Below are 14,967 nucleotides of genomic sequence, written 5' to 3' on the forward strand. Positions count from 1 at the left end.
GTGGTTGCAGTGAGCTGAGGTCACACCACTGCACTCCAGCCTGGGCAACAGAGGGAGACTCCATCTCAAAAAAAAAAAAAAAAGAAAAAGAAAAAAGAAACTAGGCCAAGGTCACACCGGCTGTGAGTGGCAGAGCAAGGGGTGCTGTCCGCAGAATCCTCTCTTTTCACCACGTCACCCTTTGCAGGAGGAGCACATATGGGTCAAGATGTTACGGGCTCAACCAGCGTGGTGGCTCACACCTGGAATCCCAGCACTTTGGGAGGCTGAGGCAGGTGGATCACCTGAGGTCAGGAGTTCAAGACCAGCGTGGCCAACATGGTGAAACCCTGTCTCTACAAAAAATACAAAAATTAGCCGGGCAATAATAATAATAATAATAATAATGAAGTGATGGGCTCTAATCCAGACCCTCCTCGGGTTTTCAGTCCTAAACTCTTTGGCTACTCCTTACAGGAAGTTGTCCAGTTACACATCTCTGATCCTTCCCCAGGATCAAAACCCAGGAAGGAGGCCTTGAAGCCAGACAGAACCATGTTCAAATTCCCACTCTACTACTTGGCAGTGTGTGGCCTTGGGCAAGTTACTTGGCTCTGAGCCTCCTAAGCAGGGGTAACCCCTTTGAGAGGTTGTAGGATTCAATGGGAGACCATGGATTAGCGCCAAGAAATAGCAGGTGCTCCATAAATATCCGTGCCTTTCTGGGGATACAGCCAAGTGGAAACTCAGCCATGGACGATACCTGGGCTCCTGGGAGCCAACATCACTTTATTTCCCACATTCTGCTAACAAAATCCAATTCGTTATAATCAGGGGTCATCTGTTTTGCTTTCCTTTGCCAATAAAAAATTGACTTGGCATGAAGTCTTCAGTAGTTACTTCAGCTAACATTTGTTGAACACCGTCCAGGAGCCAGGCACCCTGCTGCTCAGAGGCTGGCCCTGGCCCTCTGGGAGTTCAGAGTCTCACTGCAGAATGGCACCTGCAGGCAAAGAACTCTAAAACAAGGCAGGGTAGTGAGAGATGTGAGCCATACGTTCAAAATGCTGGGACTTCAGAGACAGCAGAGGCCACCTGGGTGTGGCATGGGCTTGGCATGCAGTCCTCTGGGGCTACTGCGGAAGGGGTGTCACCAGGACCAGCTACAGAACTTATGGGGCCCCTTTTTCAAAAAGTTATTAAGAATCTTGGTAATAGGCCAGGCGCGGCGGCTCACGCCTGTAATCCCAGCACTTTGGGAGGCCGAGGCCGGCTGATCACCTGAGGTCACGAGTTCGAGACCAGCCTGACCAACATGGAGAAACCCCGTCTCTACTAAAAATACAAAATTAGCTGGGCGTGGTGGTGCATGCCTGTAATCCCAGCTACTTGGGAGGCTGAGGCAGGAGAATCGCTTGAACCCGGGAGGCGCAGGTTGCCATGAGCCGAGATTGCGCCACTGCACTCCAGCCTGGGCAACGAGAGCGAAACTCCTTATCAAAAAAATAATAATAATAATAATTTCAGTGATAGTAGGGCATTAAGCCAAATGTAGGGCCCTCTGAGCATGGCGCCCTGTACCACCACACAGGCCACTGACCCATGCAGCTGGCCCTGGGTGCCGCTATTCCATGACCCCAGGAGGTCAGGTGCTGTCCCTCTGGGAGAGGCAGGCTCAGGGCAGACCCTGTGGGAGTTGGGCCCTCAGGCCTCATCCAAGCTGCTGACCATGCGTCACGGCTCCCTATTTCTGTGTGAGGAGAATTGTTCCTGTCTGGTGACTGTCATCAGGAGGGTGACTGTGGATTTCCACAAGCCAGGATGGACGGCAACTTCCCCAGCATGAGAAAGAGCCACCCAGGATTGGCTTGGGGCTGTTGACAGTGGCCTGTCCCTCGCTATGTCATCTGCCTCACCACAAACCACCAGCAGAAGGTTCAGAGGCCAGGGAAAGAGAGGGGAGCCACTGGGCCAGGCCTGATGGTGCACACCTGTCATCCCAGCACTTTAGGAGGCTGAGGCAGGAGGACGGCTTGGACCCAGGAGTTGGAGACTAGCCTGGGCAATGCAATGAGAACCTGTCTCTCCAAAAAAAAAAAAAAAAAAAATTAAAAACTTAGCCAGACATAGTGGTGCATGCCTGGAGTCCCAGTTACTCCGAAGGCTGAAGTGGGAGGATCGTTTGGGCCTGAGAGTTTGAGGCTGCAGTGAGCTCTGATCACACCACCGCACTCCAGCCTGGGCAACAGAGCAAGACCCTGTCGCAAAATAAATAAATAATTTTTTTTTTTTTTGAGACAGGGTCTCACGCTGTCACCAAGGCTGGAGTGCGGTGGCGCGATCTCGGCTCACTCCAACCTCTCCCTCCTGGGTTCAAGCGATTCTCCTGCCTCAGCCTCCTGAGTAGCTGGGATTACAGGCGCCCGCCACCACACTCGCTCATTTTTTTGTATTTTTAGTAGAGATGGGGTTTTGCCTTGTTGGTCAGGCTAATCTCAAACTCCTGACCTCAAATGATCCACCCGCCTCGGCCTCCCAAAGTGCTGGGATTAAAGGTGTGAGCCACCACTCCTGGCCATAAAAATTTTTAAATGACATTTTTTGGCTACTGTTAAAACAACAACAAAAACAGGAACTAAGAAGTATCGGGGAGGATGCGGAGAAACTGCGCCCGGTGCATCGCTGGTGCAGAATCAAATGGCGCAGCCGCTGTGGAAACCAGTGTGGTGGGAGGCTCCTCAAAACATTAAACAGACAATTACCAAACAATCTCGCAATCCCGCTTCCGGGTATATGCCCCAAACAACTGAAAGCAGAGTCTCAGAGCAGTATTTGCACGCCCACACTCACACAGCATTACCACAAGAGCAAAAAGATGGAAGCAACTCAAGCTTCACGGACGGACAAACGGATGAACCAAATGGGTTATATGCACAAAATGGAATATTATGCAGCCTTAAAAAGGAAGGATATTCTGACACATGCTGCAACGTGGATAAGCCTTGAGAACATTATGCTAAGCGAAATAAGCCAGCTACAAAAAAGACAAATATTGTATGATTCCACTTATACGAGTAATCAAATTCCCACAAACAGAAAGAAAAAAGTGGTTGTCAGGGCTGGGAGGAGAGGGAAACAAGGAGTTATTGTTCAATGGGTGTAACATGGCAGTTTTTTTGTTTTTGGGGGGTGGTTTTGAGACAGAGCCTCCCTCTGTCACCCAGGCCGGAGAGCAGTGGTGCGATCTCAGCTCGCTGAAACCTCTGCCTCACAGGTTGGAGCGGTTCTCCTGCCTCAGCCTCCCGAGTAGCTGGAATTACAGGCACGCACCACCACGCCTGGCTAATTTTTGTATTTTTACTAGAGATGGGGGAGTTCCACCATGTTGGCCAGGCTGGTCTCGAACTCCCAACCTCAGGTGATCCGCCCGCCTCAGCCTCACAAAGTGCTGGGATTACAGGCGTGAGCCACCGCACCTGGCCCACATTGCAGTTTTGCAAGAGCGAGACTTCTGGAGATGGATGGGGTGATGGTTACACAACAATGTGAATGAGCTTAATGCTACTGATCTGTACACTTAGAAATGACTAAGATAGTACATTTTATGTTATGTGTATTTTACCGCAGTTAAAAATGTTGTAAGTTTAATGACTTTTGTTTTCTGTATATAAAAAAATATTTATTAAAAATCGTGAGCCCAGGCACAGTGACTCATGCCTGTAAACTCAGCACTTTAGGAGGCCAAGGGGGGAGGATCACCTGAGGCCAGGAGTTTGAGACCAGCCTAGGCAACATAGCAAGACCCTGCCTCTACAAAAAATAAAACATAAAAATTAGCTGGGCATGGTAGTGCACGCCTGTAGTCCCAGCTACTAGGGAAGCTGAAGTGGAAGGACCGCCTGAGCCCAGGAGGTCAAGGACGCAGTGAGCTGTAATTGCACCACTGCACTCCAGCCTGGGAAAATAAATAAATATAAATAAATGGCCCAGGCGCAGTAGCTAATGCCTGTAATCCCAACACTGGGAGGCCAAGGCAGGCAGATTCCTTGAGGCCAGGAGTTCGAGACCAGCCTGGCCAACATGGTAAAACCCTGTCTCTACTAAAAATACAAAAATTAGACAAGCATGGTGGCACATGCCTGTAATCCCAGCTACTCAGGAGGATGAGGCACGAGAATTGCGTGAGCCGGGGAGGCAGAGGTTGCAGTGAGCTGAGATCCTGCCACTGCACTCCAGCCTGGGCAACAGTGGGAACCTGTCTCAAAAAAAAAAAAAATAAATATAATAATTAATAAATAAAAATCTTGAATGTATAGGAAAACCGAAAGAGGGCTGGGTGTGATGGCTCACACCTGTAATCCCAGCACTTTGGGAGGCTGAGGCGGGCGGATCACCTGAGGTCGGGAGTTCGAGACCAGCCTGATTGACATGAGAAACCCTGTCTCTACTAAAAATACAAAATTAGCCAGCTGTAATCCCAGCTACTCGGGAGGCTGAGGCAGGAGAATCGCTTGAACTTGGGAGGTGGAGGTTGCGGTGAGCTGAGATCGCGCCACTGCACTCCAGCCTGGGCAAGAAGAGCGAAACTCCATCTCAAAAGAAAAGAAAAGAAAAGAAAAATCCAAAGAGGCAAAGATGTAATATCTCTCTTATATTATACATAAATACTCATAAAGAAATAAAAGTACCTGTAACTCTACTACCCAGAGACAACTGCTGCTAAAGACATGATCTACTTCCTCCTGTATTTGGAACACACACAGGTGTGTACCTCTCTCCAGCCATCTATAATTCAGATCAGTTCAACAGCTATAGTTATGTATACTCTATTTCCTCCTGTATTTGGAACACACACAGGTGTGTACCTCTCTCCAGCCATCTATAATTTAGATCAGTTCAACAGCTATAGTTATGTATACTCTATTTCCTCCTGTATTTGGAACACACACAGGTGTGTACCTATCTCCAGCCATCTATAATTCAGATCAGTTCAATAGCTATAGTTATGTATACTCTATTTCCTCCTGTATTTGGAACACACACAGGTGTGTACCTATCTCCAGCCATCTATAATTCAGATCAGTTCAATAACTACAGTTATGTACACTACTTTCTCACTTCATGTATTATAAGTATTTCTAAAATCTCCTGTAATATGATTTTTAGTGGCTTCCTGGTATTTGATCATATGGACATAATGTTCAACTAATCTTCTATTTCTGAACATTTAGGTCGTTTAAAGTTTTTCCGTGTTTTAAACAATACTGTGATGTACATCCTTATGTATATACTGTTATCCATATTTCTCGAACTCCTGACCTCAGGTGATTCGCCCGCCTTGGCCTCCAAAAGCGCTGGGGTTACAGGTGTGAGCCACCACACCCCGCCCTGTTATCCATATTTCTGATCATTTCCTTAGGGTGATTTCCCACAAGACATTTCACCGAGTCAAAGACTGAGTGTCTTGAGGCCAGGGGCACGTACGGATCGGGCCCTCCTGATGACAGGGCCGCGTCTGGCCCAGTGCTCTGTGCTCTGTGCTCTGTCCCCTCCAGGCTTCTAAGGCCCCAGACTTTCTCTCCTTTGACTTTGGCTAGATTCGACTCCCGTAAGTGCTGGCGAACGAAAAGTTCTGGAATGTAAGCAAAATGGGGCCCCCGTGTCCATATGGGCTAACTCTGTAGGCTCAAATGAAATCTTTTTTTTTTTTTTTTTTTTGAGACAGAGTTTCGCCCTTGTCACTCAGGATGGAGTACAATGGCGTGATCTCGGCTCACTGCAACCTCCACCTCCTGTGTTCAAGCAATTCTCCTGCCTCAGCCTCCCAAGTAACTGGGATTACAGGCATGCACCACCACATCCAGCTAATTTTTGTATTTTTAGTAGCGATGGGGTTTCACCATGTTGGCCAGGCTGGTCTCAAACTCCTGACCTCAAGTGATCCACCTGCCTTGGCCTCCCAAAGGGCTGGGATTACAGGCTTGAGCCACCTCGCCCGGCCCTCAAATGACATCTTAAGGCCGGGTATAGCAGCTTACACCTATAATCCCAGAACTCTGGGGGGCTGAGGCAGGTGGATCACTTGAGCCCAGGAGTTCAAGACCAGCCTAGGCAACATGGTGAAATCTTGTCTCTACAAAAAATACAAAAATTCACTGGGCATGGTGGCATGCGCCTGTAGTACCACCTACTTGGGAGGCTGAGGTGGGAGGATCACCTGAGCCCGTGAGGTTGAGGCTGCAGTGAGCTGTGATTGCACCACTGCACTCTAGCCTAGGTGACAGAGAGAGACTCTGTTGAAAGGAAGAGAGAGAGAGAGAGAGGCAGAGAGAGAGAAAGAAAGAACAAAAAGAAAAGAAAGAGAGAGAAAGAAAATTTACAAAAAAACTCAATTTCTGTTGCAGGAAGAGGCTTAGAGATTGCCTCCTCCCACTCTTTCATTTTATGAAGCAGAAAAATGAGGGCCACACATGGCATCAGCTATTCCCGTTTCTTGATGGACAGACTGAGCTGGAACTGGCTTGGTCCATCACCCCAGGGAGTAATGGCTGGCTTAACAGCCCACAGCAAATTCTGTGGTTCACTGGACCAAGCAGCAGGTTCCAGGACAGCTGTGGGGTCAGTTGGGGCCATCTTTGGACTCAGCCTGAGTGTCAGCTGTCTCATGCCCACATCCTGGCACTCACAGGAGCCAGTAAAACTCTCTCCAGGGCAGTGGCTGCGACCCTGTCTCCTAAACTCAGAAAACCAGGTCCTAACTTTGGGGACTTGCGGGGAAGGGTGGGAGGGGGTCGGGGGATAAAAGACTACAAATAGAGTGCAGCGTATAGTGCTTGGGTGATGGTTGCACCCAAATCTCACAAATCACCACGAAAGAACTTACTCATGTGACCAAATAGCACCCGTACCCCAATAACCTATGGGAACATTCAAAAGAAAAAGAAAACCGTGTCCTAGTCTCCTCAGCCAGTGGGGCGGTGTGTGGTGGGTGGTCTGCACTTGGTCCCAGAGAGGTCAATGAGACCCAGACTTGCCTGTGAAAGAAACGGAGTGGTGGCGGGGCCCGGGAAAAACCCCTGCGTTCACTCGTTCACTCGGCGCCTGCTGTGTGGCAGGCAGCCCCCCTGCTGGGCTCGCTCAGTCCTCGGTACCATCCTGGGAGCAGGCATTAGCCCCCTTTTGCAGATGAGCCTCCGAAAAGGTGAAGAACTTGACCAAGGGTCAAACTGAGCAAATGGCAGAGTCAGGCCCCTACCCCGGCTGACCACCCAATGCCCAGTGGCTGCAGCGTTCCCGTTACACAGCACGATAGCTCTGCAACACACATAAGCATGCATTAAACCAGAGATGCGCCATCACTCCCACTTCTGGAAGCTGATCTCATAGCACAGCAAGAGACGAGCAAGAAGGATGTTCTAACAAGTGTGTTGAGGGGTCACAGGGTGGGCCTTTCTCACTCCAAGGCTCTGGGACTCTTGGAGCTCTGGTAGGAGCAGGGGAGACCAACCCTACCTCGGATGCAGGGGCAGCATCCGATGACCCTGATAATGACCACAAGAAAGAGGCAGCACCTCTAGGGCAGGAAAGTGCTGGGGGTCAGAGGCATGGGTGCCATTCCAGGCTGAGCCAGGCTGGCTGTGTGAGCCTGCGTGAGTCACTTAACCTCTGAACCTAGTGCTTCACGTGCAAAAGAGGGAAGCTTCCCTCATCCTCCTCCAGCCGTCACCCGCTGCCTTCCTTCTCTCTGCAGCAAAATGGCTCCGAAGCGTTGTCTACACTTCTTTTCTCTGATTCTTTATTTAAATTTGCACTTATTAGGCTGAGCGCAGTGGCTCATGCCTGTAATCCCAGCACTTTGGGAGGCCGAAGCGAGCAGATCACTTGAGGTTAGGAGTTCAAGACCAGCCTGGCCAACATGGTGAAACCCTGTCTCTACTAAAACACAAAAATTCGCTGGGCATGGTGGCAGGCACCTGTAATCGCAGCTACTCAGGAGGCTGAGGCAGGAGAATCACTTGAACCCGGGAGGCAGAGGTTGCAGTGAGCCGAGATCGTGCCACTGCACTCCAGCCTGGGCCACAGAGCAAGACTCTGTCTCAAAAATAATAAATAAATAAATAAATAAATAAATCTTCACTTATAAATTACTCCCTAAATAAAAATAACACGTTATATACATATATATACCCATCTCAGCCTCCCAAAGTGCTGAGATTACAGGTGTGAGCCATCGTGCTTTGCCATAACGTGGTTTTTTTAATGTTTTATTTTAAAAATGTTTTTATAACTTTTATCTATTTATTTATTTTTTGAGATGAAGTCCCGCTCTGTTGCCCAGGCTGGAGTGCAGTGGCACCATCTCAGCTCACTGCAAGCTCTACCTCCTGGGTTCAAGCGATTCTCCGGCCTCAGCCTCCCAAGTAGCTGGGATTGCAGGCATGTGCCACCGCACCTGGTTAATTTTTCTATTTTTAGTAGAGACAAATTTTTGCCATGTTGGCCAGGCTGGTCTCAAATCCCTGACCTCAGGTGATCCGCCCGCCTCGGCCTCCCAAAGTGCTGGGTTTACAGGCGTGAGCCACCGCGCCTGGACAAAATTTTTTTATACCTTTTAAATTCCAGACCCACCACCAGGTTGAATCCTCCGGGCTGACTGTGCAGACCCCCCACTATGCCCCCTACTTTCCATTAACTGGTATGTTTTATGTTATCAAGAATATTAAAACAAACCTATGCATCTGCCATTGAGCTTAAGAAATAGATGGCCGGACGCGGTGGCTCACGCCTGTAATCCCAGCACTTTGGGAGGCCGAGGCGGGCGGATCATGAGGTCAGGAGATCGAGACCATCCTGGCTAACACGGTGAAACCACGTCTCTACTAAAAATACAAAAATTAGCCGGGCGTGGTGGCAGGCGCCTGTAGTCCCAGCTACCCGGGAGGCTGAGGCAGAAGAATGGCGTGAACCCGGGAGGCGGTGCTTGCAGTGAGCTGAGATCGCACCACTGCACTCCAGCCTGGGCGACAGAGTGAGACCCTGTCTTGGGGAAAAAAAAAAAAAGAACTAGACGAATGCCCAGGCATGGGAAGCCCCAGTCACCTTTCCCTCCCTCAACCCGAGAGGAGTCACATTCCAAACCTAGCCTTTATCATTCCCTTCCTTTTCATTAGACGGTTATGTATGTACGTATCCTTAAACTTTATGCTAATGGTATCACATTTTGTGTATTCTACTACTTTTAAACATTTATGGATTAAATTCTGTCCCTCCAAAAAAGATATGTTGGAGTCTTAACCCCTAATACTTTAAGCCGTGACCCCGTTTGCAGACACCGTCTTTACAGAGGTGCTCAAGGTGAGAGGCACTCATTAGAGTGGACCCTCATTCGATACGACTGGTGTCCTTATAACAAGCAGAACACAGGACAGAGGCAGAGCCACCAGCAGGGAGAACACCACATGAAGCCTGGAGTCAGGCTTCCGGACGAAGCCGGGAGAGAGGCGGGGAACAGGTCCTCCTCCCACGCCTTCCCAGGGAACGTGGCCCTGTCGGCACCCTGATCTCCTCGCCCCTAGAACTGGGAGACAACACGTTTCTGCTGTCCAGCCACCCAGTGTGCGGTACTTTGTTACAGCAGCCCCAAAAAATAAAGACACCATTCCATGTCATGTTCTTGAAATTCATTTGTTAATGAGTGAAGCCGAGGCTCATTCATTTTCTCTGTCATGTTCTATTATATGATATCCCACAATTTATCCATTTTACTTTGAAAAGTTATATGGTTTGCTTACAGGTTTTATTGTTGTTTTGAAATTGCAAACTGTGCTGCCCCGAACCTCCCTGCAAACTGTGCCGTAGGAGTGGAGCTGCACTTGGGTCAAAGAGGGCAAAGGTAAGTCTTAACTGTGCAGCCCAGATCAGAGCAATAACAACTCATCAAGATAAGTCTAATTGCTACTCAACGGGGTGGAACTTACACGCTTGCCAGTGGGCAGGCAGAGTTCCCTGTGTCCTACATTCTTGTTAACACTTGAAACTCCAGTCTTTTTTTTTTTTTTTTTTTTTTTTTTGAGAGATGGAGTCTCACCCTGTTGCCCAGGCTGGAGTGCAGTGGTGTGATCTTGGCTCACTGAAACCTCTGCCTCCCGGGTTCAAGCGATTCTCCTGCCTCAGCCTCCCAAGCAGCTGGGACTACGGGCTCCCGCCACCACGCCCAGCTAATTTTTGTGTTTTTAGTAGAGACGAGGTTTAACCATGTTGGCCAGGATGGTCTCAATCTCTTGACCTCATGATCCGCCCACCTCGGCCTCCCGAAGTGCTGGGATTACAGGCGCAAGCCACTGCACCCCGCCCTGCAGTTTTGTTTTGTTTTTTTAATTTATTATTTTAAAAAAATGTTTTTGAGACAGGATCTCACTCTGCCACCCAGGCTGGATCATGGTGGCATGATCTTGGCTCACTGCAGCCTCGTCCTCCCAGGCTCAAGTGATCCTCCCGCCTCAGCCTCCCAAGTAGCTGGGACCACAGGTATGTGCCACCATGCCTGACTAATTTTTGTGCTTTTTGTAGAGATGAGTTCTCACTGTGTTGCCCAGGGTGGTCTCAAACTCCTGGGCTCAAGCGATCTTCCTGCCTCAGCCTCCCAAATTGCTGGGATTACAGGCATGAGCCAACACACCCAGCCCGAAGGAACTGCCATTCTTTTTATCTTTGCCAATCTGATGGTTATAGAATGGTATTTCCTAGTGGCTTTATTTTGCGTTTTCTTTATTTCTAATAAAGTTAAGCATCTTTTACATGTTGATGGACAATGTATATTTCCTGTTTTGCAAAACACCTGGTCGGGTTTTCCTGGTCTTTTTTCTTATTTATTTCTAGGAGTTCTTTATGTACTCTGGACTCTGATCCTGCATTGGTCTTTCTAAAGCTTTATTCGTCGCATCCTCTGATGAACAGAGCTTTTCTTTTTTCTTTTCCCTTTTAAAATTAGTAGAATTTATTCATCTTTTTCTTAACAATTAGTGCTTTCAAGAAATTCTTTGTACCCCCAAGGTCAAGAGATATTATCCTATACTCGCTTTGTAAGGGTTGGTATTCTGCCTGTCAGGTCGTTAATGGACCTGGCATTGATTTTGGAGCCTGCTGTGTAGTCAGATCTAAACTGGGAAAGGAACAATTGCCTGCTTTTCTCACAGGGGCGTTCTGAAGCTCAAAGGAGAAAATGCGTGTGAAAGTGTCCAGAACTGTGAAACAATGTACAAGTAAGAGAGTCTGCGATGCTGATTTGCTGGAGGGTGACAAAGCCGTTTAAGAGAAGGCTGCTTTGGCCTTTGATTTGCTAATCAGTTGGTAGCGTCATAGGCTGCCAGTAGGCCAGGCAGAAACCCAACCTCCATTCTGCCTCCGGAGGCTGGAGAACACAGCCAAAAAGACCAGCTGAAGCATGTGGTCTTTGCAGGAAAGTAAGTTCCAGTGGCACTGCTGGGGCTGGCCCCGTCCACCCACACTGTTCACTCCATCTGCCACCTGACATTAGCAAATTAGGCTGCAAATACAGCCCTGAGTCATAGAGAAAAGATGAAATTACACTCAGGAAACTCTGCTCACTGAAGTGCATGAGTAACAGGATGCAGAAAGACACCCATTAAAAGCGGCTAAAAACGAGTCAGGTGCTCCAAGGCAGCCTGCTGCACACCCCAACACGCGGGCAGGCTCCGCCCCAGCTCCAACTCCACCTGGAGGGGCAACACGCACCCATTATACGAGCCACACGGGGGCCCCAGCAACTGGCCCAGACAAGGCTGCAGAGCCCACTCAGGGTGGAACCCCCTTTAGCGAACTGGAAGGTTCCATGACGGGGCTGCGGGGAAGGAAGCCGACTCGTGGGGAGTTAGCTGAGCTGCCGGAGGAAACTGACAAAATCAAACGCACCCTTTGGCCTGCACAAGGCGATATTGTTGGTTCTCCCTGAAGCACATCCTGGCCAGGAGACAGAGCTTAGGCCAGCCCCCGGGCCAGGTGCCTGCTACCCAGACCTGTGATCCTAGCCAAAAGTCTCTGAGTTCTGGATGTCCACACTGGGAAGGGAGAGCAGCGAGGGAAGGGTTACCAAAGGGGCCTGAGGAGACATTCGGGGGTGACAGATTGTCAGCATCTTTTTGTTTGGTTTTTCTTTTAAGCGATGGGGGCGGGGGGTGGGGGGGGGTCTCACTATGTTGCTGAGGCTGGTCTCGAACTCCTGGCCTCAAGCAATCCTCCTGCCTCAGCCCCCGAGTAACTGGAATTCAAGACGTCAGCCACGGCCCCCAGCTTAGCTTCAGCATCTTGATTGCAGTGGTGGCTTCACAGATGTATACATATGTCAGAACTTATCAAATTGTATATTTTCAATATCTATTTTAGACAATTAGATCTCAATAAGGCTGTTTAAAAATTACAGAATGGTGTGATGGCGACTTTTACTAAATATGCATGTTGACAGCAAGAGGAACGACTAGAAGGAGGTCCCCAGATGTTAACAGTGCTTAGTTCTGGGCTGTGGGATTACAGAGGATTTTACTTTTCCTCTTTGTGTTTTTCTGTACTTTAAAAAATTTCTGAAATATATGTGTTTTACTTTTTTTTTTTTTTTAAGATGGAATCTTGCTCTGTCGCCCGGAGTGGAGTGCAGTGGCGCGATCTTGGCTCATTGCAACATCTGCCTCCTGGGTTCAAGCAATTCTCCTGCCTCAGTCTCTCAAGTAGCTGGGATTACAGGCATGTGCCACCACACCTAGCTAATTTTTGTATTTTTAATAGAGACAAGGTCTCGCCACGTTAGCCAGGCTGGTCTCGAACTCCTCACCTCAGGTGATCCATCCACCTCGGCCTCCCAAAGTGCTGGGATTACAGGCGTGGGCCAATGCGACCAGCCGTGTTTTACTTGTATAAATCAGGAAAAAAAAAAGTATCTATTTCAAAATAAAAGCAAACTTTAGGTCGCAGGGGTCTTCTGAAGGTCGGCAGCCATGACCTCACAGAGGCACACTCTGGGCTTAGCACGGTGGAGCTGTGCCCAGGGGAAGCAGCTTGGGCTTTACAACCAGGTCTGCAGCAAACTGCCCAGGCCAAACCTCAGCTCTGCCGCCCATCTCCTCAGCGGCCTTCAGCTAGTTACTTGAGTGCTTGGTGCCAATTTTAATCCCCAATTATATTTCGGAGACAATCGTCAAAGCCTCTGCAGGTGGCTGAGAGATTCAATGAGCCAATACAGGTGGCTCTTAGCAGTGTTCTCACAGCACAGCACAGACTGGGTGAATTACAGCTACTATTCCCTCCTATTAAAAAGAATAGAAGTGGCCGGACACAATGGCTCATGCCTGCAATCCCAGCACTTTGGGAGGCCGAGGCGGGTGGATCACCTGAGGTCAGGAGTTCGAGACCAGCCTGGCCAATATGGTGAAACCCCATCTCTACTAAAAATACAAAAATTAGCCGGGCGTGGTGGTGGGTGCCTGTAGTCCCAGCTACTCTGAAGGCTGACATGGGAGAATTGCTTGAACCCAGGAGGCAGTGGTTTCAGTGAGCCGAGATCGCGCCATCGCACTCCAGCCTGGATGACACGGCAAGGCTCTGTCCCAAAAAAAAAAAAAAAAGAATAGAATTGACTTGAGAAACTCTTTGCTTCTTTTTCCCCCATGAGGTTAGAAAAGATAATTGAATCATCTCTAGAACAGGACGCCAGTTTCTGGAACTGAAGGGTTTTGAGGTTTCTCTTAACGAATATCAGAAATCTTTATCTCTCAACCAACTGTAACCACCATCTGTGGCCTCCTCCAGCCCTCACCAATACGGGTACCCCTCCCAGGCTTCCTCTCCCTCCCTGAGCCTCTGCTGTGAATTATCTGAGTCCACTTCTTCTGAGGCTGCTTTTATGGGACAGAGACAAGACCCTACTCTTTCCTTCTCTTACTTGTTCCTTTTCTGTTGTCTGCCAGAAGTAACCACCCGTTGCCCAAACCAATCTTTAGCTTGGCCTCCTTTCAGGGGTCTGGATGCCATCTTTAACTGCCTTAGTCTGGTGGCCTGAGCAGCTTACCTGAGCCTCAGCTTCTTTTTTCTTTTTCTTTCCTTTTTTTTTTTTTTTTTTGTTTGTTTGTTTATTTGTTTCTTGTTTTTTCTGACAGGATTTCACGCCATCGGGCAGGCTGGAGTGCAGTGGTGCAATCACAGCTCACTGTAGCCTCAACTTCCAGAGCTCAGGTGAGCCTCCCACCTCAGCCTCCTGAGTAGCTGGGACTCCAGGCACGCACTCAATGCCTGGCTAATTTTTGTGTTTTTGGTAGAGATGGGGTTTCTCCATGTTGTCCAGCCTGGCCTCAAACTCCTGGGCTCAAGTGATCCGCCCACCTTGACTTCTCAACATGCTAAGATTACAGGTGGGATCCTACCAGGTGGGGCAGGAGTAATCAACCCTACTAGACAGATGGGGAAAATGAGAGGCCGGGCGCAGTGGCTCACATCTGTAATCCCAGCACTTTGGGAGGCCAAGGCAGGCAGATCACTTGAGGCCAAGAGTTCGAGACCAGCCTGGCCAACATGGCAAAACCCCATCTCTACTAAAATACAAAAATTAGCTGGGCATGGTCGTGGGCACCTGTAATCCCAGCTACTCGGGAGGCCGAGGCAGGAGAATTGCTTGAGCCCGGGAGGCAGAGGTTGCAGTGAGCCGAGATCGCACCACTACACACTCTAGTCTGGATGACAGAGCGAGACTTAGCCTCAAAACAAACAAACAAACAAGTGCACCTTTGTTAGTTTTATTTGAACCAATGTTTACATCTCTGGCAACCACAGGCTCATATGAAACTTCATGCTATTAAACTTTATGGGTGACATGGCCAGGCACGGTGGCTCACGCCTGTAACCCCAGCACTTTGGGAGGCCGAGGCAGGTGGATCACGAGGTCAGGAGATCGAGACCATCCTGGCTAATACGGTGAAACCCCGT

The 14,967-nt window shown here is 49.0% G+C and overlaps 3 annotated features.

Annotated features, from left to right (window-relative positions):
* Nucleotides 11,507-11,706: an enhancer, noted in NCBI's record as "active region_21070". NCBI's record gives its function as "activates an Ori minimal core promoter by ATAC-STARR-seq in GM12878 lymphoblastoid cells {active_cell/tissue: GM12878}" and the evidence as "EXISTENCE:reporter gene assay evidence [ECO:0000049][PMID:35858748]".
* Nucleotides 13,374-13,473: an enhancer, noted in NCBI's record as "active region_21071". NCBI's record gives its function as "activates an Ori minimal core promoter by ATAC-STARR-seq in GM12878 lymphoblastoid cells {active_cell/tissue: GM12878}" and the evidence as "EXISTENCE:reporter gene assay evidence [ECO:0000049][PMID:35858748]".
* Nucleotides 13,538-14,027: a transcriptional cis regulatory region, noted in NCBI's record as "candidate enhancer chr3.5812 targeted for multiplex CRISPR interference". NCBI's record gives its function as "positively regulates expression of the TFRC gene with high confidence and the ZDHHC19 gene with lower confidence in K562 cells {active_cell/tissue: K562}" and the evidence as "EXISTENCE:mutant phenotype evidence [ECO:0000015][PMID:30612741]".

The sequence above is a fragment of the Homo sapiens genome, chromosome 3 (genome assembly GCF_000001405.40).
Source record: "Homo sapiens chromosome 3, GRCh38.p14 Primary Assembly".
Classification (NCBI taxonomy): domain Eukaryota; kingdom Metazoa; phylum Chordata; class Mammalia; order Primates; family Hominidae; genus Homo; species Homo sapiens.